Source organism: Homo sapiens, chromosome 2 (assembly GCF_000001405.40).
Source record: "Homo sapiens chromosome 2, GRCh38.p14 Primary Assembly".
Taxonomy (NCBI): Eukaryota; Metazoa; Chordata; class Mammalia; order Primates; family Hominidae; genus Homo; species Homo sapiens.
The window spans coordinates 46,538,550-46,560,021 of NC_000002.12; the positions used below are offsets into that span (position 1 = coordinate 46,538,550).

The 21,472-nt window shown below is 48.2% G+C and overlaps 2 protein-coding genes across 15 annotated transcripts in view, besides 8 other annotated features; one reads left to right on the forward strand and one right to left on the reverse strand.

The window, feature by feature from the left end:
* The window catches only part of ATP6V1E2 (ATPase H+ transporting V1 subunit E2), a 30,731-nt gene extending 26,703 nt beyond the window's left edge, over window positions 1–4,028 (reverse strand). For 6 of the 12 annotated variants that reach the window (NM_001371283.1, XM_011533149.4, NM_001371282.1 and 3 more), the window contains exon 1: window positions 2,841–4,028. The gene's annotated coding sequence lies outside the window, so the exon portion shown is untranslated. Of the gene's footprint in view, window positions 1–2,768 lie in introns of all 12 variants that reach the window. The other 6 variants (NM_001318063.2, XM_047446257.1, XM_017005225.2 and 3 more) reach the window with 2 other exon arrangements.
* Window positions 3,781–4,270: a silencer, noted in NCBI's record as "silent region_11448". NCBI's record gives its function as "represses an Ori minimal core promoter by ATAC-STARR-seq in GM12878 lymphoblastoid cells {active_cell/tissue: GM12878}" and the evidence as "EXISTENCE:reporter gene assay evidence [ECO:0000049][PMID:35858748]".
* The window catches only part of RHOQ (ras homolog family member Q), a 42,199-nt gene continuing 24,667 nt past the window's right edge, over window positions 3,941–21,472 (forward strand). For all 3 annotated transcript variants that reach the window (XM_011532726.3, NM_012249.4, XM_005264229.3), the window contains exons 1-2: window positions 3,941–4,639; window positions 5,205–5,263. In XM_011532726.3, coding sequence (XP_011531028.1) covers window positions 4,498–4,639; window positions 5,205–5,263 — 201 coding nt within the window. In that variant the 5' untranslated portion in view covers window positions 3,941–4,497. The remainder of the gene's footprint in view (window positions 4,640–5,204; window positions 5,264–21,472) is intronic.
* Window positions 4,541–4,620: a silencer, noted in NCBI's record as "silent region_11449". NCBI's record gives its function as "represses an Ori minimal core promoter by ATAC-STARR-seq in GM12878 lymphoblastoid cells {active_cell/tissue: GM12878}" and the evidence as "EXISTENCE:reporter gene assay evidence [ECO:0000049][PMID:35858748]".
* Window positions 4,661–4,730: a silencer, noted in NCBI's record as "silent region_11450". NCBI's record gives its function as "represses an Ori minimal core promoter by ATAC-STARR-seq in GM12878 lymphoblastoid cells {active_cell/tissue: GM12878}" and the evidence as "EXISTENCE:reporter gene assay evidence [ECO:0000049][PMID:35858748]".
* Window positions 4,741–4,790: a silencer, noted in NCBI's record as "silent region_11451". NCBI's record gives its function as "represses an Ori minimal core promoter by ATAC-STARR-seq in GM12878 lymphoblastoid cells {active_cell/tissue: GM12878}" and the evidence as "EXISTENCE:reporter gene assay evidence [ECO:0000049][PMID:35858748]".
* Window positions 6,503–6,572: an enhancer, noted in NCBI's record as "active region_15708". NCBI's record gives its function as "activates an Ori minimal core promoter by ATAC-STARR-seq in GM12878 lymphoblastoid cells {active_cell/tissue: GM12878}" and the evidence as "EXISTENCE:reporter gene assay evidence [ECO:0000049][PMID:35858748]".
* Window positions 10,938–10,997: an enhancer, noted in NCBI's record as "active region_15709". NCBI's record gives its function as "activates an Ori minimal core promoter by ATAC-STARR-seq in GM12878 lymphoblastoid cells {active_cell/tissue: GM12878}" and the evidence as "EXISTENCE:reporter gene assay evidence [ECO:0000049][PMID:35858748]".
* Window positions 11,028–11,107: an enhancer, noted in NCBI's record as "active region_15710". NCBI's record gives its function as "activates an Ori minimal core promoter by ATAC-STARR-seq in GM12878 lymphoblastoid cells {active_cell/tissue: GM12878}" and the evidence as "EXISTENCE:reporter gene assay evidence [ECO:0000049][PMID:35858748]".
* Window positions 19,439–19,488: an enhancer, noted in NCBI's record as "active region_15711". NCBI's record gives its function as "activates an Ori minimal core promoter by ATAC-STARR-seq in GM12878 lymphoblastoid cells {active_cell/tissue: GM12878}" and the evidence as "EXISTENCE:reporter gene assay evidence [ECO:0000049][PMID:35858748]".

Genomic DNA, 21,472 nt, shown 5'->3' on the forward strand with positions numbered 1-21,472 from the left:
CAACAGGATCTCGGGGGTGATGCAAATTAGTAACTCACAGATGGCCTGTTTACTCTCTGCCCTTTGTGATGGGGGAGTAGTGGTGGTGGTGGTGGTGGTGGTGTTCTCTCTCTCTCTTTGCTTCTCTCTGCACTTTAGCTATATTTCCTTGGACTGGCTACTTTGTGAATGGCTGAAACATAAATGACCTACAGCTTCCAGGCTCACATCGCTCAGTTTAGTTAGCAAAAGAGGAGAAACTCCTGCTGTGAATCCCAAATTCAAAATTCTCAGGCAAGGCTTGGTGGCTCATGCCTATAATCCCAGCTTCTTGGGAGGCTGAGGTGAGAGAATTGCTTGAGCCTGGGAGGTTGAGGCTATAGTGAGCTGAGACTGCACCACTGCATTCCAGCCTGGGTGACAGAGTGAGACTCTGTCTCAAAAACACACACAAAAAAAAATTCAGGAAAGAGTTCTAATTGTCCCATCTTGAATCAGGTGTCCACCTAGGGATCAACAGGTACCAGGGGCAGGATGTATAAGAAGACGGCAGCTTCCAAGATTACAGAGATTACATTATAAAAACATTTAGCAGAAGCAAATGGTGCTGTTCTGGATAGACAAACCAATAGATACTCTCTACAAAGTTTACAAGGTTGTTTGGGGGATGAAATAAGATGTCCTATATCAATGAGCACCAAATACCCGGGACCATAACTGGATACAGTATACAGCAGATGCTCTAGAAATTTGTGTTTATTCCCTTCATTACATCCTCGCTCCCAGAACCACTGCTTGCCTAGACAGTGCCTTCATCTTTTGCTACATAGACCAAGGTTCCCCTCTGAGTGGATGCACCCCTATGGGCACAGGGTTTGACAAACAGAAGTCACATTTGTGGTAAGAAAAAAGTGCCCTTCTTGCAATGAACGCAGCCTTGAGCTGGGACCATGCCTTTGTAGTAAGCGTGTGGGTCAGATTTCTTCCTCAGTGGCCCCATTGGCCCTGGCCTTTGGCCTTTGTACAGTGGAGACTGCCCAACCCATGCCAGACCCTGCATTCTTCATATGGCTTTCAGAAGCTCATGGACTGCCTGCATTATATGGTTCCCAATTAAATACAAACCAGTTCCCCAGCACCACTAATCATGCACTCTGTCCACCTTACATGCCTCACCATTCCCAGGAAGTTGTGTGCTGTTCCTTCTTGCTTTGATGCAGTGCTCTTGGCCTTTCCCAGGCATTCTTACCTTACTCCCATTAGACTCTTAAGCCCCAGGTCAATGACATCACTTCTGCAAATCCTTCCTCAACACACCTGGACCTATGTACTAATTGCCTCCTCTGCACCTCCAGAAGCCTATTCTCTATTCTCTAGCACAGCACTGCTCACACTATAGAGTGCTTTCCTGTTTGCTAATAAGTTCCTTGAATGGTTTAGCTAGAAGTGACTGTGGCTTTCCAGCTCTTTGTCCCCAGCCCAGGAATAAAATCTGGCATCTAACAGACCTCAATAAATGCTTGTTAATTGAAATATGGAATGAATTAAGTATGAGAGGAAGGAGGGAGTACAGGAAAAAGAGTAAGAGAAGGCTGATTAGGAATTTCACTGTTCTCAGCCAGATGCAGTGACCTGTAAGCCCAGAACTTTGGGAGGCTGAGGCAGGCGGATCACTTTGAACTCAGGAGTTCGAGACTAGCCTGGGCAACGTGGCGAAACCCCGCTCTGCAAAAAAATACAAAAATTAGCTAGGCATGATGGCACATGCCTGTAATCCCAGCTACTTGGAGGCTGAGGCTGGAGAATCACTTGAACCAGGGAGGCAGAGGTTGCAGTGAGCCAAGATCATGCCTTTGCACTCCAGCCTGAGCGACAGAGTGACAGAGAGACAGAGCAAGACCCTATCTCAAAAAAAAAAAAAAGAAAGAAAAAGAAAAAGAAATTTCACTGTTCTCACACAGACCTGTGTCTGTTTCAACATTTGCACAAATAAAAGGAGAGAAGCAAGCAGACAGCCTATGGGACGCTCAGAAACAAAGTGCTTTCTATCTCCAATCCCTGAAATTTGAGAGCTTTTTCTGTAACTTTTTTTTTTTTTTTTTTTTTTTTTTTACCACTTGGACATTATCTTCTTTGCTCATGGGAAAGTGAGGTTTCTGTTGCGGTCTGATTGGTGCTTCCAGCTAAGGCATTCATGGGCTGACAGGGGGGCATTCTGGATAGCCCCCCTCCCCATCCCACATATACACCAAGTGGGATCAGCTCCAGAGCTCTAAGTATTCCTGGCAGTCAGTTTTGGCAACTCTGTGGGCCAAAAGAATGAGGTCACTGTCACCAATGAAGTCACCACTGCATGATTCATCGGACATCAGTTCCCCACTGGGAATGCTATGACATTCCCAGAGCTTCTCCTACTCTTAGCTCACATTTATAGATGAGAAAACGGAGGCCCAGAGAAGGGAAGTGACATGCTCAAGGTAACACTGCTAACCAGGGTCAGAGCTAGGACCAAACTCAGCTCTCCTGGCTGAGTGCTCTCCTTTTCAAGCTCCTGGATAGACCCTCCTTTCAGGACACGAGTCCCTGCAAATGCTGCCTGAACAAATGGTCCTGCAAGCCAAGAATGGGGCAGGCCCTGCTCTCTTTCTCTCTAAGAGCAAGTAGCAGAGGCCGGTCTTGAACCAGGAACTGACCTTAAGGCACTTTTCTGCCTTCCTCAACCTGTTATTCAGTCCATACAAAATATCTTCCAGATTCATTGCATCTAAAGCAGCTAGCAATGCGCATACCTAGTCGCAGACACGCAGGGCCAAAGGGTGGGTCCTGGGGAGAGGCTCAATGAGAATCTGCAAGGAACTTACAGTGATTTCCGAAGACTTCCTGGGAGAGTGGAAATCAGATTCGGAGTTTGAGAGTTCAGGCCTCCTGGATAGTGAGGAACGGGAATACAACAGTGAGCATTTCCCCAAGTGTGCTCCAAGTCCTTGAGTACTGGGAGCAGCTGGAAGCCTTTGGGACAACCGCTTCACCTTTCTAGGTCTCAGTTTTCTTCCCTACAACCTAAGGGTGATGGTCCAGTTGACCTCCGCGCTGCCTCTCAATGCTGCATTTTTCTAACGCTGTGAATCGATGAAAGGAAGCGATTACCTCTAGTCAGCAAGTTGAGGGGAGGGGTGCGGTGTCAGCGCAGAGTGCACCCCCGCCCCAATGCCCAGTGTTCAATGCTGCATTCTTGGCCAGTGAACAGGACCTGGCCAGATGGGTGTGTTCCGGCATCGCCAGGCAGAGGGGCAGGGGTTGCCGCCTCGAGCACAGGCCAAGTTTCAGAGCACTAGTGTGTATCAGTTCTCCGGGATTACAACGGAATACCTTTGAGGAACATTGGGGACCGAAAGGCGACCTCGGAGAATGTGGCCTCCAGGGGGAGCCCAGGTACATTTGCCGGGTCCGGAGCCGACGGGGTATCCTTTTTCTGGCTGGTGTGTGTGTGGAGGGGCGTGCTTCAGTGGTTCAACACGCTGTATCTCCCTTAGTTACCGGTTTCATAGTAAATGATTAAAGCTCGTGCTACGGAAGGCGTGGGGTGGTGGTGGTGGGGGGGACCACGCAATAAGCCAGGGTTCCTGCTTTCCAGCTCAAGGACCGCCACCACCCCACGCGCCTTAAATTTTTTTTTTTTTTTTTTTACCCTTTTGGTCTCTCCTCCTTGATTTCTAGTTCCGTTGTGCACTTAGAGGCCGAGAGGATGGCTCTGGCCTTCCGGGTGGAGGTGAAATATGCATGTATAATTTGGCATGACTATTGCGTCATCGTGGAGGTCGTCGTGGTTCCCCGAGAGGCCTCCACGTCTTCTCCCAGCATCGGGGCCTTTGGACGCTTCCGGGCGCTGCGGGCACTTGCGCGAGGAGCCCTCGGCTCCCCAGGCGACTCCCCTCCTCCCCTCCGCGGTCCTCGGCTCCTCCTCCTCCTGCGCGCCCCTCCGCGCGGCCCTCGCAGGGAGTGGGGCTCGGGTGCGCCGGCAGGGCCGCGCGGCGGCAGCAGGCGGGGGCGCGTGGCGCGGGCCGCGCTCGGGGAGGCGCCTGGGCCCGCCCTCCTCCGGGGCGCCGCGGGAGGGGCCCGGGTTGGCGCGGGGCGGGGAGAGCCGCCTGGCCCCTCCCCTCCGCCGCCCTCCCCAAAGTTGCCGTCTCCCCCGGGGCCGGCCGGTCTTATGATCCGGCGGATCCTCCTGGGGAGGCCGGGCCGGGGAGAGGGCGCGGGCGCCGAGTGGCGGGGGCAGCGGGCGGGCGCGGCGACCGGGGCCGGGGCGGGGATCCGGGCGGCGACCGCGGCGGCGGCAGCGCCCCGGGCCCGCCGCCCCCTCCCCTCCTGCGAGGGGAGCCGCTGCATGGGGCCGGGGGGGCGGCCCTGCGGCGCGGAGCGGCGGCGACGGCGGCGGACCCCCCAGGCGGGCTGGGGCTGAGCCCGGGGCCGGGGCGGGGGCTCCGGGGGGACCATGCCCGGAGGCCGGCCGGCAGCAGCATGGCTCACGGGCCCGGCGCGCTGATGCTCAAGTGCGTGGTGGTCGGCGACGGGGCGGTGGGCAAGACGTGCCTACTCATGAGCTATGCCAACGACGCCTTCCCGGAGGAGTACGTGCCCACCGTCTTCGACCACTACGCAGGTAAGCCTCGGAACTGCTGACTAAGGGGCCGCTCCCCGGGCCGGGAACTTTGGAGCAACTTTGGCGGAGCCCCCTCGCCGCCTCCCCAGAGCGCACTCCTCTCCCCTCCCCCGCCGCGCCCTCTGCCAGGCGGCCGGCCCCACCCCCGAAGCTTCGCTCCTGGCAACCCCTCGCCCGCTGATCCACCCCCTCTCCCACCCGCCCCCTACGCGGCTCCTGCTCCCCGCACTTCCTACCCCTCGGCGCCCTGGGCCGTCCTCCTTGACCTTCCCACATCCCCTTTCCTACTGCCCCAAGGCCCCGGGGGAAATATTCGAGGGGACCGAGCGAGACGTGGCTACGGGACTTGGGAGAAGGGGGTGGACGGCTGGGGACCACATCACACCCCGGCCCTTTGCCGGTTCACAGTGAGCTGGCCGCACGGGAAAAGGGGGTGACATCTCGCGGGGAGCGCCCCCACGCCTCTAGCTGGGTTGGGAGAGGAGGGTCCGGGTGGGGAGCGAAATTGCCCCAGAGCCCAGGTCACTGTGAGCTTCTCTCCCCGCCCCCACTTCTGTCCTTGCAGTCAGCGTCACCGTGGGGGGCAAGCAGTACCTCCTAGGACTCTATGACACGGCCGGACAGGTGAGTGTCTTGGCCTCTGGCCGACGCCCCCCTCCTGTTCCCCAGTTCTTTGTGGCTGCGAAGGGCCTTTGGAAACCGAGGTGTCTAGGTGGGAGGGTGTGTCTGCGACGGGCTTCCCCTGGATTAGGTCTTTATTTCTTGTAACAAGTCAGCAAATTAGGAAAACAAACAAAACAAACAGAGCCGGATAAGCCCCCCCCATGTGAACCCCTGGGCTGTGAAAGTTTTTGCCTGTGTGGGTCGTTCTGTGTGGCGCCTGGTGTGTGGGTCCCAACTCCTGTTGCAAAGTGGCAGCAGCCAATCATGAAGCGCCCTTATTTTTAGTTGCAGATGACCAGGTCTCCCCCCCACAGCCTCTGTCTGGTCCCTCATTGGTGAGTGGTCTGCCTGCCCAAGGAGCCTGATTGGTGGGAAATGGCATCATCTAATATGATGGGAAGGCATTTGGTCCTGGTTATGTTTATTACAACATCATTGCACTCTGGGACTCCAGTCCCTGAAAACGTAATTTGTGGTGTTACCAAAGGACCACAGGGAAAAAAGAAAAGAAACAACAACCATGTAGCCACTCCCTGGGGTGGGGAGGAAGGGTTAGGAGTTTAGAGTGAATCTTGGAGGAGGAGGGGTTCCCCCCGGCCCTACTTCAGAAGGGCCAGGTGACTTTGTCTGGGTTTTCTTTGGGAGAGATTAATTGTGCAGAAAGAAGATGCACACTTTGCCCTGCAGCCTCTGGCCAGGGTTTGCACATCAGAGGTGGCCAGGCTGTGCTTCTAAAGGGCCAAGGTCTTCTCTCTGTCTCCCTGTCCCAGCTTCAGCCTCTTCCCAAACCCACTTTTGCTCTGGGGATAAGTTGTGTGTGATGAATTTTGTAGAATCCAGCACTATGATTAGAGTTGAAGACTCTGGCAGAAGTTTCCACATGTCATACAGACTTACATCCTTGAGAACACAGGAGCAGCTGAAAGTCTTAGAGAATGTCTTTGGGGGAAGTCCAGTAGTAGAATTTCCTTATCTGCAAAATGGGGTTTAAAAAAATAAGATGATCCCCTGGTGCAGATATTGTATGGCAAATGTTTAGCATTGAACCTGGCACACACTAGGTGCTCAATAAAGGGAGTGATGTACTTTGAAGCTTGTCTAGATTTGGATTTCAGAACTGTGATTAGAGTTTAGGTTGGATTCTGAAACATGCCTTATTGAGGGGGAGTGCCTTGATGTGACCTCTGGTTTCTAAACTGTTAGAGGAACGTCTGAAGATAGAGAACTGCTGGCAGTTCAAGGTCCCTGAGACCACCCCCTTTCACCAAAATGGCCCAGGTCAGTACAGCCAGTTCTCAGCTCTCCTGGGCCCCCATTGGTTGCCTGCCCTGTAGTCGTTATTCCTTCTACCTTCATTGGAGGATGTGGAGGGCAAGGGGCAGAGCTTGCTCAATCAACTAAGACTGACTTTTAAGTCGTATTATTGATAAACAAGAGGTTGACCTTATTGGTTGAAAAGAGGAAGCTTTTAAAAAATCGCCTCTAATTTGAACTTCTCACTACCTTCCTTTCTCTTATCTCCTTTACTTGTGACCATGATAATTTTTGACCGCACTCCCTGTTCAACAGGATGTGTGTAGTCAGAGCTGTTCTGAGTATGTTTAAACCCTGCTAGTATTTACTGAGTTTTTTCCTACATATGGGGCCAGAGGCAGACACATGCAAATATTATTTTATTTAGTCCATAAAACAACCCCATGAGATAGGTGGTATTTCATCTTTGCGGTGAGGAAACAGGCTCAGAGAAGCTAGGTTGCTTGCCTGAGGTCACACAGCTACTGAGGGGTGTTGCTAGGATTGGGACAGGGGTCTGAATCTGCTCCAGTTTGAAGTAGTTATACACACAGGACACCATGGGAATGCTGAGATGCCACGGGGTTGATTGGATTGTTTGTGCATCCATAGTTGTGGTACCTGTAATCTTCACAGCCATTCTCTGAGTGGGTGTTGGATGGCACCTCTACAGAGGAGAGAACTTAGATCCAGAGTCACTTGAAGTTGACCCCACTTACAAAACCAGGGCTTTCCATATATGGCCGTAATTACTCTTTTTAGTGGAGGATCATAAGATATAGACCAAGCAGGATGAACATATTAGTAAGGCTCAAATACTACTGTTTTCACCCAATGCTGGACACCATTGGTGGGGCCTAGATGTGTGTTAGGCCCCATTGGTGTTTTTCCCAGTGTCTAGACTTTTGTTTTTGCATCAAAGCTAGTAATATTTCATCTCCCAGCATTTGAGGGTTTATTACTAATAAGCAACTTAGCAATGATGAGACCAAATGGCAAGTGCCTGCTGTGTACCTGGTACTATGTCCAGGTACTTTTGCACCTGGGGAGTGCAAAGGAATGAATTTAAAATGGGGATCTACCACAGCTGATGTCAGCAAAGGGAGAAATGTCTGTCTCGGGTCTCTGTTCATGTGTTACATAGGAGATCTCTACATTGCACTTGGTCATTAAGACCTCAGGCTTCTAGGAATCCATATCAGATTTGTCTTACAATAATAACAATGATAAATAAACATGTAAATAAAAAGTAAATAAAAAACATTAAGGGTTTATATATATATATATGTATCCGTATACACATATACATATATATATATATATATATATGTGTATATATATATATATATATATATATATATATATATGTATATACATATATATATATACACAAATCCTTAAGCCTAGTGGGCAGCAGAGAAAGGTCCATGGGCTTTGGAACAAAACAGGCCTGGGCTCAGATCTCCACCTTAGCTAGTCATGTGATTCTAGCTAAATTATTTACCTTTGTGATCTAGTAAAAACGTGAATAATTAGAATCTGCATTACAAGGTCATAGGCTGGCTTAAACTCTTTAACATATTTAAAAGCAGCTGATACTTTGTGCATAGTGGGTGAGTGACAAATAGTACAGGAAATTATTATATTCCACTATGGGGAGTTTTGTGGGGAGAAAGGTTCACAGAGTGGAAGAGAACAGTATATTGTGCCTGGAGTTGATAGAAATTCCACTAGAATGCCAGATCCTAGAACCTTTTCAACCAAGGTGTGCAACAGCTTTGCGCATTGTAATTCCCATAGTCCCTATTGTGGGATCCATGGTTCCAAGCCCAGTGCTCCCTGCCGTAAATGCCCTGTTGTATCAGATGGTTTTCTGTCTTAAGCAGAGCCCGTATCCCCATTGATAGAAGAGAAATAGCTTAGAGTTCCATGCAGAATTTGACAGACAAGTAGGGTATGTAGGCTTCAGTTGGTTCTACTTTCAGAGAGTTAAGATGGAATGAGGCAGCTCATGGCACTACAGGTCAGTTGCCTTCTCTCCAAAATGTTCACTCATGCATGTGGGCACTCATTGTATTTGAATAACAGCAACAGTGCCTCCCTCAGTTTGGAACCTCTAGTCCACTTGCTCACTCATGGTCCCTGCCTTAACCCCAGTCAAGTTCAAAGCCATAGGCATCATTTGTCCGACTGACATATTAGGGCATCTACCAGTCAAAGGGTGATTGTTGTAGATGACCTTTGGCCTTCTAGAGCAGGCTGCTTTCCACTTGACCTCTGCTGCTATTAGCAGACAAAGAGAGAGAATGGGAGAGAGAGTGTATTGGACTTCAGTCCCCATCATGTGCACTGCCTGGGGACATCCCAGCACACTCAGAGCACCACTGCCAAAGGGAACACTTCCCCTCTGTTGGCCAAGCCCATGGGTGGTCCAGGAGCAGCTGTCACATTTTGACTGCCAAGCATTTTGGAGTGGAAGTTGACCGAGGCATCTTCCTTCTCACTAGGGGCCTTGCGTGTGTTTTGGGGGTGAGGGGTTGGCTTCCTGCCTGGGCCTCTGTGGAGCTTCTCCTTTCTTGCCCAGCCTTCAGGACTTCAGTGTAGGCTCTGCAGCAACCCCATTGTCTGCTCAAGGAGGGACTGGAGAGATGGGATTTTCCCTCCTGCTACTGCACTGTTTGGAGCGATGGGAAGTGGAAAGAGCTCTCCCTCTCTGTCCAGACAGGCCAGTGGGGAGCTGCCTGGCAAGCTGCTCTCTAGCTGTGGGCTCTAGGCTGATCTCTTAATCCTTGGCAGGAAGGCAGAACTTGATACCCTGGAGAGGGAAGGACTGAAGCCCAGTTTATTCAGGTCCCAGAATATCCACACTCAGGAGGATGTGTGTTGGGGGTGAATTTGGGATCCCTAGAGTTCCAGATTTAGCCACTGTCTCAGTGTGTGGAAGTCAATTTGTGTGCTTTGGGATGTATTGTTTCTATGTCTGTTAACTTAAACACACAAGTTCAGGGAAGCGTCCATGACAGCTATAAATATCTTTTACTCTGGTGTCCCTTGGTGTTGCTTTTTCAATGACAAGTGAGATTTGTTTTACACTTGATATAACCCAGCAGCTGTGGCTGCCCTGCATGCCCTCTGGGTGCCCACAAGGCACTTCCCCTACAGAAGGGAATCTCCACCGGAGGCAGGCTTGGCATGCCCCACCTTCTGCATTTTAGCAGAAGGGCCTGGCATGATGAGAAAAGGGAAGGAGAAAGGGCCATGGGATCACCACTCACCAGGCTCCTCCCACCTCCAGGCAAGTCATCCTCACAACACCCTTCAAGGTAGACTTCTCCCAGATGAGGAAATTGGGAACAAGTGGGCTTATGGGAACCAGACAGAGATGTGATTAGGAAAAAGGTTTTCTACTTTGGAGAAGGCCTGCAGGGAACATTAGTAGGGTTTAGGAAATGCCACTCACAACATCAGACTCTGGGTCCTTGTAGCCCCGTGTTCCATCCTTGCTCAGCCCGGTGAGCAGAGCCTGGGAGGAGCCCCAGGGTTCCTTCCAGGCATCAGCTGCAACAGGTGAGATGCTGGCACTGAGCATCCTGGTTTCCCTTAGTAACCTACTGTAGATTTGTCATGTGTGCATTTTGCTAACCTTTTTAGAAGCTATTTATATCTCTAGCCCACACCGCATCACACGGGAATGCTGGTTTCCTCCTCTGCGTTGGGAAGGTGGATAGCCTTTGTTGACTCCAAAGCCTTTGCTGTGTTCGCTCCAAAGTCTGAATGCCCTGTGTTCCCCTCCTTGGGACTCTGATGTGGGTTTGGGTTATGCCAGCTTAGACTGTGGGCTGGCAGGCAGGGACTTTAGGGTGGGGGCAGTCCCCACCAGCTCTCGTTGGTCTACAATTATGCCTCATAATCGGGCACATAATCTGTGCCCCATCCCCATCCTGGACCTTTGATCTGTTTGGCTTCTCCACTTCCATCATGATTCTCCTGAGGTTTGGTGACATTCCCACGCTTTGAACGACAGCTTCCCCGCAGGTATCTCAAGCATGAGTGTTACAGGTGTGCTGAGATGCCAAGCTCTCATCTCTGAGGGGCCGGGGGAGTGACAGCCTAAGGGGGTTGAGCATGTATTGTCAGTTGCTGTGGGTGCTGTGATGTGAAAAAGGTGGGAAGCATTGCTTTAAGCCCCTCGGGGTCAGAGGCCCCATGGAGAATTGGGCTTTTGCGGTTTTGTTGTGCAGTTTGGGGTTTCAAGAGATTAGATCTAATGGTATGAAAACAAAGCCAACAAAGTAGCTCTCCACGGGGGTGTCCGTTTCCAGAAAGAGCACATGTGTTGGCAGCTGTGGGTGCTACAGAGGCCTCAGACACAACAGCAATGCTTCAGCAGGAGAGGGACGCAGTTACAAAGAAACAAGATGGAAGACCATGTGTGGCTCTTAAAAATTAAAATTCCTGATTCTCAGCTGTATTTCCTTTCTCTCTGACAGGCTTGGCTTTGCCCTAATTTGGCACACTTGGGTCAGAGAGCAGCTTTCCTTGCCCTCAGCAATTTGTCATTCCTCTTTTGGTTTCTGAGCACAGCTGCTTTGCATGTACGGAGGCTGGGCTGTCTGAGCTCTCAGGGGTCCCCCGGCTCCCTGGGTAGAACGCTCTCCTGCCCAGTGCCGGCCAGGACCTCCTGGATGCGTTCTTGCTCTCTTCAAGAACAGTGTCTTTCTCTACCATGTTGCAGTGCTCAGCCCAGTGCCTGCTACCTTGTAGGCATGCAACAAATACATCTTAAGGGGATTCATGGCCAGGCAGGGTGGCATGTTCTTGTCTGTAATCTCAGTACTTTGGGAGGCCAAGGCTGGAGGATCATTTGAGGTCAGGAGTTCAAGACGAGCCTGGACAACACAACAAGACCCCCAATTCTACTAAATTTTTTTTTTTAATTAGCCAGATGTGGTAATGCATGCCTCTGTAGTCCCAGCTACTCAGGAGGCTGAGGTGGGAGGATCACTTGAGTGCAGGAATTCAAAGCTGCAGTGAGCTATAATACAAGGCTTCATTGCACTCCAGCCTAGGCATTAGAGCGAGACCGTGTTTATTTAAAAAAAAAAAAAAAGAATTGATTCTCATTTGACTGTCAGCTTGTTTCTGCTAAAAGGTTAACCAAGGACTAAAGTCATAGCTGCTAAATAATAGCATCAGCACAACCCCTTTTCCAGGAAAGCTTCACTAATACAGTAGAAGTCTTTAAGGTTCAAAGGAGAAACAGGCACATAGGTATGGGGCAGGCCATCAGTTTTGTCTTTACACAGGCCCAGGGGCCTTAGTGATCACCAGTGGGTCTGTCTGTCCCCCAACACTCTGTCTCAGACTCCGGCCTTTGCATGTTTCCTGAGACCTCTTGCTCCCAGATCCCCTGAGGAGGAGACAGGTTGGCAGTGGAAAGAGTGTGGGTTTTGGAGCCTCCAGATGAACTTCGAATCCTAGTTCTACCTCTTTGTAGCTGTGAGACATCGGCCAGCCGGCTCACTTCTGTGAGCCTCTCTTCCTTCTGTGTGAAGTGTGGAGATAATTTATACCCTGCAGCATAGCTGTAAGGATTAGAAATGATGTATGTCGTTACCCTGTAGGGCTTGGTGCTGAGAGTGCGGGCCCAGGCTAGCTCTGGGGGCTTCACACTGGCTCAGTTCGGTTGGTGTTGATTCAATGCCTGGTGTGTGTTCCCACCTTCCACAGGAGAAGGTGGGGGATCGGGCCACAGAAAGGTCCACTACACAACTGGGCAAGTTCATCGTGTGAAATTGAGTGCTGCAGGGTCCCACACAGGAAGAGGTGACAGGGAGGAGCTTTTTGGAAGATCTAGGCTTGCAGGAAGAGATGGGGGCCAGTAGAGTACTGGTTGCCAGTGTGGACCCCCACACTGGACTCCCAGGGCCCAACTTCAGCTCTGCCACTTCCCAGCAAGGGGCTTAACCTTCGGAAACCTGTTTCCTTATCTGTCAGATGGAGATTATGATAGTACCTCCTTGTGGGGTTGTTAGATATGTTGGAGCTTCCCAGCTCCCAGATAAGGGATTTCCTCAGCCCTCAGGGCAGCTGGGTAGGGCCTGGGACAAGCCATGGCTCAGGTTGTCCTAGCTTGAGCAGTCTCACCTCAGGCATGCAGCAGTGGCTCCTCTACTCCACCCGATGTGTGCTGAACACATCATCTCATTTTCTCTGTGTGCCATGAGGTGAAGATTTGGGAAGCATTGACCTAAATGAGTTCCAGCAGGCAGAGGGGTGTGGAGAGCTCATATTCTGAGTGGGAAGAATAGTGTAGGGAGGAACGGCAGAGGGGGTGACCCCAAAGCGTCTTTTTATGGACCCCAGATCCCTGCTATCAGTGTCAACATGTGGAGCAGGGTTGATAACTAAATTATGGAGTTTTTCACCTGGTGACTGACAACTTGGTAATTAAAGAGATATTAATCTGGTGCTGTGTTGCTGGTTGATTTTAATAGAAAGAAAAGAATGTGGGGAAAGGGGTCTTTATTGCTGTCTCTGTTCCTTTTTGAGTGAATGGTGAGAGCACTGAAGCAGCCGCCTCTCCAGATCCCTAGATTTTCCTGCTCTACTCAGGCTCAGGGTAGACTGAGGGGCTTAAAAGTGGCAGGCTCATCATCAAATGACATTTTTACAGCACATAAAGCATGTCGCACCTGGTACCGCCTTGAGTTCCCTCACCTGCTCTGTGAGTAAAGGAAGCCAGTGGTGGCTGTCTCATTTTGCAGATCTGGGGAGGTTAAATGACTCGCTCCAGGCCACACGGTTGGTAAAAGGCAAAGCCGAGATCACCAGGCAGGCTGTCGGACTTTAAGCCCTGGGTTCTTGATGTTAAGTCACTCTCCCTAATCATCTGGCCCATGTTAAATGCCTCTTTTATCACATGCACTGTTGTTCAGCGTTTCATGTAAAAGGTACATTCCAAGCGTATCGCTTTTCTAGCTAGAAGAGATGGTGGAACATTGTGTATAGGTGGAACACGTAGGGACGGCTGCTAAAACGGCTCCTACAAAGACTTCTGCCCCACGTGACGTTACGGGTGTTTTGTCACTTTGTCCCTAAACCACCATGCTTCCTCAAAAAGGAGCAGGCCCGAGGTGGCGCTGATGGCCCCATTGCTCAAGTACGTGTGGAAGAAGCTCATGCCATTTGCCTAAAGCTGTGGCCCCTTCCCAGAAGAGAGGGACAGGGAAATGCTGTTTGGGGGGCTGCCAGGCGGGCCAGCTTTAGCCTGCAAATGACGGGTGTCGTTTGTGTCCCATGGGGGCTACCTCAGGCCTTTCCTTTCTCCCTTCAAGGATTTTCTTATTCAGGGGAAGCCTACCTCTGCAAAACTGTTTGTCCCTCCTTCATCTGAATATTCTCTAAATATGGCGCAAAACTTCCTCTGCCACCTGCTGCTCATATTGTTTGCCCTCTTGGGCCATCCCCATTGCCACCACCTCTGCATGGGCTCCCAAATCCTGCCTGGCTGCTTCCTGTGGTGGCTGGCAAGCCTAGAAGAGAACATTCATCCAGTCAGTCAACATACATTTCCTGAGCACCAGATCTGGGCCAGGGGCAGGTGTTAGAAGATCTGTCAGGCACAGGCCTGGCCCCCAGAGGCACAGTGTTTTGAAGGGTAGGTCAACCATGAGTGGTGGGAGGGCAGTGGGGCCTATTTATTGGGGGCACAGAGGAGGAAGGCTTATCCTTCCAAGGAGGTGAAATGCTAGTAAGAGTTAAGTTGAGTAAGGTTGTTTCCACGAAAGTTGTTTTTTAGCTGGAGAAAGTGATCAGTTTGGATTCTTACACGTACTAGATGCTCAGCGAGGCCTTGAATGGTGGCACTGGTTCTCAAAGTGTGATCCTCAAACCAACATGGATTTCCTGGGAACTTGTTAGACATCCAAATTCTTAGGCTCTATCCCAAATCCTCTGAATGAAAAACTAAGAAATCTCTTTTATAAAAGCCCTTCAGGTGATTGTGACGCAGGCTAAACTTTCAGAGTCACTGAATTAATGACTGTGCACTTCTGTACCTGCTCTTTGCAACCCATCTCCACCCCCTGCCCCCTCCCTCCCTACCACATCCACCGCTGTCTTACATACACACTGTCCCTGGAGTGCAGAGAACATGACTTATTTTATTCTTTTTTTTATTTTTTCAATTTTTAAAAAAATGTTGTGGGTGTATAGTAGGCGTAAACATTTGTGGGGCACATGAAATGTTTAGATACAGGCATGCAATGTGAAATAAGCACATCATGGAGAATAGGGTATCCATCCCCTCAAGCAGTTACTCTTTGTGCTACAAACAATCCAATTACAGTCTTTGAGTTATTTTTAAATGTACAGTTGCATTATTATTGACTATAGTCACCCTGTTGTGCCATCAAATAGTGTCATGTCTTTTTCGAACTTTTTTTTTTTTTTGAGACAGAGTCTCGCTCTATCGCCCAGGCTGGAGTGCAGTGGCACGGTCTTGGCTCACTCAACCTCCACCTCCTGGGTTCAAGCAATTCTCCTGTCTCAGCCTCCCAAGTAGCTGGGACTACAGGTGCCCGCCACCATGCCCAGCTAATTTTGGTATTTTAGTAGAGACAGGGTTTCACCATATTGGCCAGGCTGGTCCCGAACTTCTGACCTTGTGATCCGCCCACTTCAGCCTCCCAAAGTGCTGGGATTACAGGCGTGAGCCACCGTGCCTGGCCCTAACTATTTTTTTGTACCCATTAACCATCCCTACCTCCCGCCAAACCCCCAACTACACATCCCAGCCTCTGGTACCCATCCTTCTACTCCCTATGTCCATGAGTTCAATTGTTTTGATTTTTAAGATCCTACAAATAAGTGAGAATACGTGATGTTTGTCTTTCTGTTGCTGGCTTATTTTACTTAATCATCTCCAGTTCTATCCATGTTGTTGCAAATGACAGGATCTCATTGTGTGTGTGTGTTTTTTTTTTTTAATTTATAAATTTTTAAACCCCCAGCCCCACAAAACACACCCCCATATACCCTCATTTCTAGTTCTTTACACATGGTTGAGATTATCCGTAATTACTGGAATGAATTGAATGATTCAGCCATGGGTGCTCCCTATCCAGTTCACCTGGTGGAGAAGGGCCGCAGTGCTATCAGGAGAAAAAAAATGGAAGCAGAATTTTTTGTGGGGTGCCTTGGCTCCATTAGTGTGCTATGTGGCCTAGGGCTGTGCGCCCAGTAGGCTCTGCAGGTATTTCTTGATGCGGCCTAAACACCAAGCTATTTCTCTCCCGCATATTAAGGGGCTCGATAGACAGGACGCCTGGACAGGGCTCTGTTCATTGTGGCTGAGGTTAGCACTCCTCTGGGTGGTGACAGACCCTGTCCCTGAGAAGGATGGCAGCTTGGTTTGTGCTAAATTAGTTCCAAAGCATCAGATGGGCAATGACGTCCTTTCTGTGTTAACATTCCCCAGGCGGGTCACAAGGAGTGGCTGAAGGGAGAGGAAGGGCTGTGTTACTCAAACACCCATCTTGCCAGTAATTACTTCTTTCCTGGCTGACCTCTGCTTTCTGTGCAAGTGTTCTCCCCTCCCTTTATTCTCCTGCGCCTGCTCTTTTACATTTTTTTCTTTCTTTCTTTTTTTTTTTTTTTCAAATTTGTTCCAATCTAGAAAACCCATCCTCTTTCAAATGGCATAATGGTTGGGATTATAAATGAGTTGGCTCAAAGTGTGCCCCCTCTAGGAGCAGCCACTGAGAGAGCATTTAATTTTGAGCATCCAGTTCAATTAAAATTCCATTTAATCCAGCTTACTTTTCACAGAGTTGTCTTCCCCAGTGAGCTGATTACCTGGAGGTGTTTCCACCAGCCTCCTTGGCCCTGGAGGAATGGGGAAGGGACTGGACACGAGGAGGGACAGAGCAGGCAGATGGGGGCTCTGCTTCCTTCGGACAGGGACTTCGTCCAACAGGCGAGAGCTTTGGGTATTCATCCACTGCAGAAAGTGAGAAGTCCAACTGAGGCTGAGGCACCCCATGACCTCCTCACCTCTGACTCCGGCCCTCTAGTGGTCGAGTCCCTCCTTAGAATTTCCACTAAGTGAATTGTCTCCAGGCTGCACTCTAGCATTTGGTTTTATTCATGTGTAAATCTTTGCTCCCCATGCAGATTGTAAACTCTTCCCCTTGCCGTCCCTGCAGGACTGCACGTAGCACATAGCACTTTGCACAAGTGTTGGGGGCCCCAGTAGGAACTAGGTGTGTGTTAAATTTAGGGGAGTCTGGTGGTAAGATTATTATGGAAAGAACCTTTCCCATCACTTTATATCATATCCATATTGGCTTTCCTATCAGCTCATTTGAGAGGAAATTCTGACCTGTCTGGACATTATTGAGTGGCTTTAAAGCAGGTTATAGGTGGCGATTTGAATACATTGACCATTTAAGCAAAGTGGGACTCATTTCTGGACTCACAGAGCTCATTAAGCAGACAGGCTGCCAGGTCTGTTTGGATGAAATACTGGCTATGCGCATGTACTGTTCTCCAGCAAGTCTAGACCTGTAGGAGTCCTTCACTGGGCTTTATGTCAGGTGTGCTTCCAGAGTGGCCTGTGGCCCTCTGTGATAAGTCGGTAGGAGGGGGACATGGTGAGGATGCTGACCTGCTCACTTGTGTCTTGACTGGGAGACCGGAATGCCTCCTGTTGTCTGAACAAGCTAGTATGGAAGTAGCATCTAGGCAAGCTGGTGTTAAGACGCAAGTAATTACTCAGAGAAATTGCTGGTGTGTCAAACTGCTTGATATGTAAGTTTCCTCCTCTTTCCTTTGTTTTATTTTTTGAGGCATAATTCAGAGAACACTTTCATCACCCCAGAACGAAACCCCATACCCACCGACAGTCACTCCCCACCATTCCTCCTCCCCCGTCTCCTGGCAACCACTAATCTGTCTTTCTGTTTCTATGGATTTACCTATTCTGGACATTTCATATTAATGGAATCCTGCAATGTTTGCCCTTTGTGTCTGGCTTCTTTCACTTAGCATAACGTTTTCTAAGGTTCATCCATGTTGTAGAAGGTATCAACATTCCATTCCTTTTTATGGCTCTGTGATCTTTCTCTTTCCATTTTATTCCTGCCCCCGCTCTTTTTCAGTTGTTCTTCCATGGCCATTCTTTCCCGGGCTCTGGGGACTATTTTCAGGGTTTCAAGGTACAAAGTGAAGTTCTGCTAGTTGTGCACTTGTGGTGCTGCCTTCGCCCCTGGCTCAGGTAGAGGCGAGGGCTGATCTCTTCTCTACCCTTCTGATATTCTTTTTCTTAAAAAATTTTTTTAATTTTTTTTTTTTTGTTCCTTTTAATGCTTGGGTCTGGACCTTCCAGTGTTCTTGTTTTCTCTGTGCCTCTGTTCATATACTCTCCCACCCCAACCACACCCTAATAGCTTTATTTATCAAACATATAAATATCCATTAAACATAAGAGTGAGGTGAGGAACACAAAATTCCATCCGATCGGGTTCTTCCCCCGTAGGAGTTTACAGTCCAGTTGGAAGATGAATAGAGCTGGCCAGAATGCAAGTAGAAAATGGGATGTGCATATAAATCATGAAATGTGAGTGAGGAGTGTTAGAAAGGTGCCCAACTACCCGGCTGTTTGACCTGAGCTTCCCAGATAGGCAAGGTTTCTGTGGGGCCGTTTAGATTCAGAAACAATTTTATTGGGGCTTTCAAGGACCATCAGGTACATGGGTCTGATTTATGTTAACTCGTAAGAGATCAGCCTATAAATGAGGTTGCCAAAGAGTTAATCTACCATGTAGCCCCAGTGGAAAAATGGACAAGACATAAACCAATAGCTCACAAGAGAAGAAAAACAAATAGCCAATGAAAACACACTCTGTAAAGACATGTGAATAAAAACTTTGTTTTTCAACCTATCAAGTTGAAAAGGAGAAAGGAAAGTAAATACTCTCTGCCCCATTTTTGGGAATGAAAACTGAAACAACCAGTTTGGAGGTTAATTTGCCAAAGACTCTTTGGTTTGCAGTGATCTGATTTTATGAATTTATGCCTAGAAAACATTCAGTGTACCCAGAGATTTACATAAAATGATATTCTTCACAATGTTATTTATAATAGTGATAAATTATAAACACATTGATGCATAGTAAAAAGGGAGTTGCTAAATCACAGAATGATTTATATTAGAATAATCACAGCCATTAAAAACTGCCTTCAACAAATATTTAAAGAAATGTGAAAAGGCTAATGATGTGTTAAGTGTGAAAAAGCAGGAATCAAAACCATATATATATGTATAGTATGATTAAAACTTTAAAGAAAATGCACATGTATAATATGCAGAGGAAAAATCAGAACAAAATAGTCAAAATGTTAAAGTGGTTGGTTCTAGGTGGTGACCATGAATAATTTTAGAAATTTACTTCTTTATACTTTATTGTGTTCCCTAATTTTTTTAAAAAAACTCATTTTTATCAAACTTCTATATGCAGATGGTTTAAAGAGTCAGCAGTTCTGGAAGGAGTTATTATGAAGAAATAAAATATTCCTCTTTACTTCTCCTGCAGAAAAGACATTTCCCACTACCCTGAGACAACCACTTTCAACTCTGCTGTTTATTTTGATAACAAATATTCTCTGTTGAATTCACATGATGACTGATGAGGCCTGAGCTCCCTTTCACACATATCTTCCACTTCCTATCCACCTTTCTGTAGGAGCTATATTGTAATTTCAGTTTGACCACTGATCAGTGTTTATATTTTTATGACTATTCACAGCTGAGCCATGTAGTGTACTATGATTATATTTTTTTTCTTGTACCACTTTCTGTTTCTCAAGTGAACAATTATCTTGTTGCTTCTCTTACTTGGTTTTCACTGTATGTCTCAGCTATTTCATGCAAAATTCACCCTCCCATGCAGCAAGTCATATCAAGTATTCTGTCAGTTTCTTCTTTTGCAGCCATCCCTCCTGCACCTTCTAACCTGCTGTAGCTGGGCTGGTGCCTCTTGCCTGCTGCACAGCTGTTATCCTGGGATTTCCCTTCAGGTTTATTAGGATTCTCTTTGCCTCTATCTCTTGTATTAGATCCCTGTTTCCAGGATCTCAGGTCTTACTGGTTTATTTCCTCACTTTGGTGGAATGTATATTTTATTAGTTTCCTGAGAAAAGAGTCATTGTAGGCAACTTTTGGGATACCTAGTATGTTTGAAAATGTTTTTATTCCTTCATACCGGACTGATACTTTGAAAATAGATTATATTTTTTCTCCCTTTGGAATTTTTAAGGCATTGTCCCATTGTCTTTCAGCTTCTATTTAAGTTGTTTAGAAGTCCCCTGCCAACCTGATCCCTGATCCATTGTCAGGAACCCATTTTTCCTCTCTGAAACTTAGGATCTGCCATTTTAACCTCCTGAAATTTCACAATCATAGGCTTTGGGGTAGGGCCTGGCTGGGTACCCACAATCTGGAAACTCATATCTTCCAGTTCTAACAAATTTTCCTGGATTATTTCTTTGGTTTATTTAGTTTCAGTCAGTCTCTTTTGTTACCCTGGAACTTCCACTATTCAGATGCTGGAGTTGCTGGAATGATCCTCTAATTATCTTACATTTCCTTTCTGTCTTTTTTCTTTATTTTGGGGAGAAATAGAAACTTCCTCAAGTTTATCATCTACCCCTTCTATTCTGTTTTTGAAATGTGATTCTATTTTTAAAGTGCCTTTTCCTGTTGTCTGGATGTTCTTTTTTTCTTTAGCATCTTCTAAGCGGTTTAGGTTTTGTTTTGTTTTGTTTGAGACAGGCTCTCACTCTGTTGCCCAGGCTGGAGTGCAGTGGTGTGATCTAGGCTCACTGCAACCTCCACCTCCCAGGTTCAAGTGATCCTCCCACCTCAGCTTCCTGAGTAGTTGGGACTATAGCTGCATGCCACCACTTCTGGCTAGTTTTTTGTTTGTTTGTTTCTTTGGTTTCTTTTTGTTGTTGTTGTTGTTGTTGTTTGGTAGAGAGGAAGTTTTGCCATGTTGTCCAAGCTGGTCTTGAACTCCTGTGCTCAAGTGATCCACCTGCCTCGGCCTCTCAAAGTTTTGGAATTATAGGCATGAGCCACTGTACCTGTCTAGTTTGTTTTTTGATGGTATATCATCTCTGATTTCTCTGAGGATATTAATGATAGTGTTTCAAATTTTTTGTCTCTCTGTGTAATCTCTAATTTTGATCTCTTTCAGGTAGTTCCTCAAATGTCTATCTGTGTTTACAAGAGTGGCATTGAGCACATGAGAAAGCATGTATGGGCAGGGCTGGTTGACTCTGAGCTTCCCTGTTGGTCAGGGTTTCTCAGCTTCAGTACTGTTGACATTGAAGGCTGGATTGTTTGTTGTGGGGGGGCTGTCTTGTGCACTGTAGGTTGTTTAGCAGCATCCCCAGCCTTTTCCCCCTAGATGCCAGCAGCATCCCTCCTCCATTGATGGCAAACAGAAATGTCTCCAGATATTGCCAGATGTTCTCCTGGGGCAACACCAGTCCTCACTTACCCCACCCCCAGTTGAGAACCACTGTTGTAGGGTGATCTGTTGGGGTCTTTTTATTGGGGAACCTGTAGGGTTAGTAGGTATTGGTCTTCCCCCTTGGGCTAGTCATATAAACCAGGAAAGAATCTTCTACTCTTCTGCCCGAGGGATTCATCCTGGGAGGCGAGTGAAAGAAGCAGAGTGTTGGAGGGGGGTCTCAATTTTCTTTGTACCGTGGCCTTGTGTGCTTCGACTGGGCCTGGTGTCTCCCATTCGGGAAGCCTAGTTCTGCCCTTACCAGAGAATAAGTATCATCTGCCTTTCACCAGGATTGGGG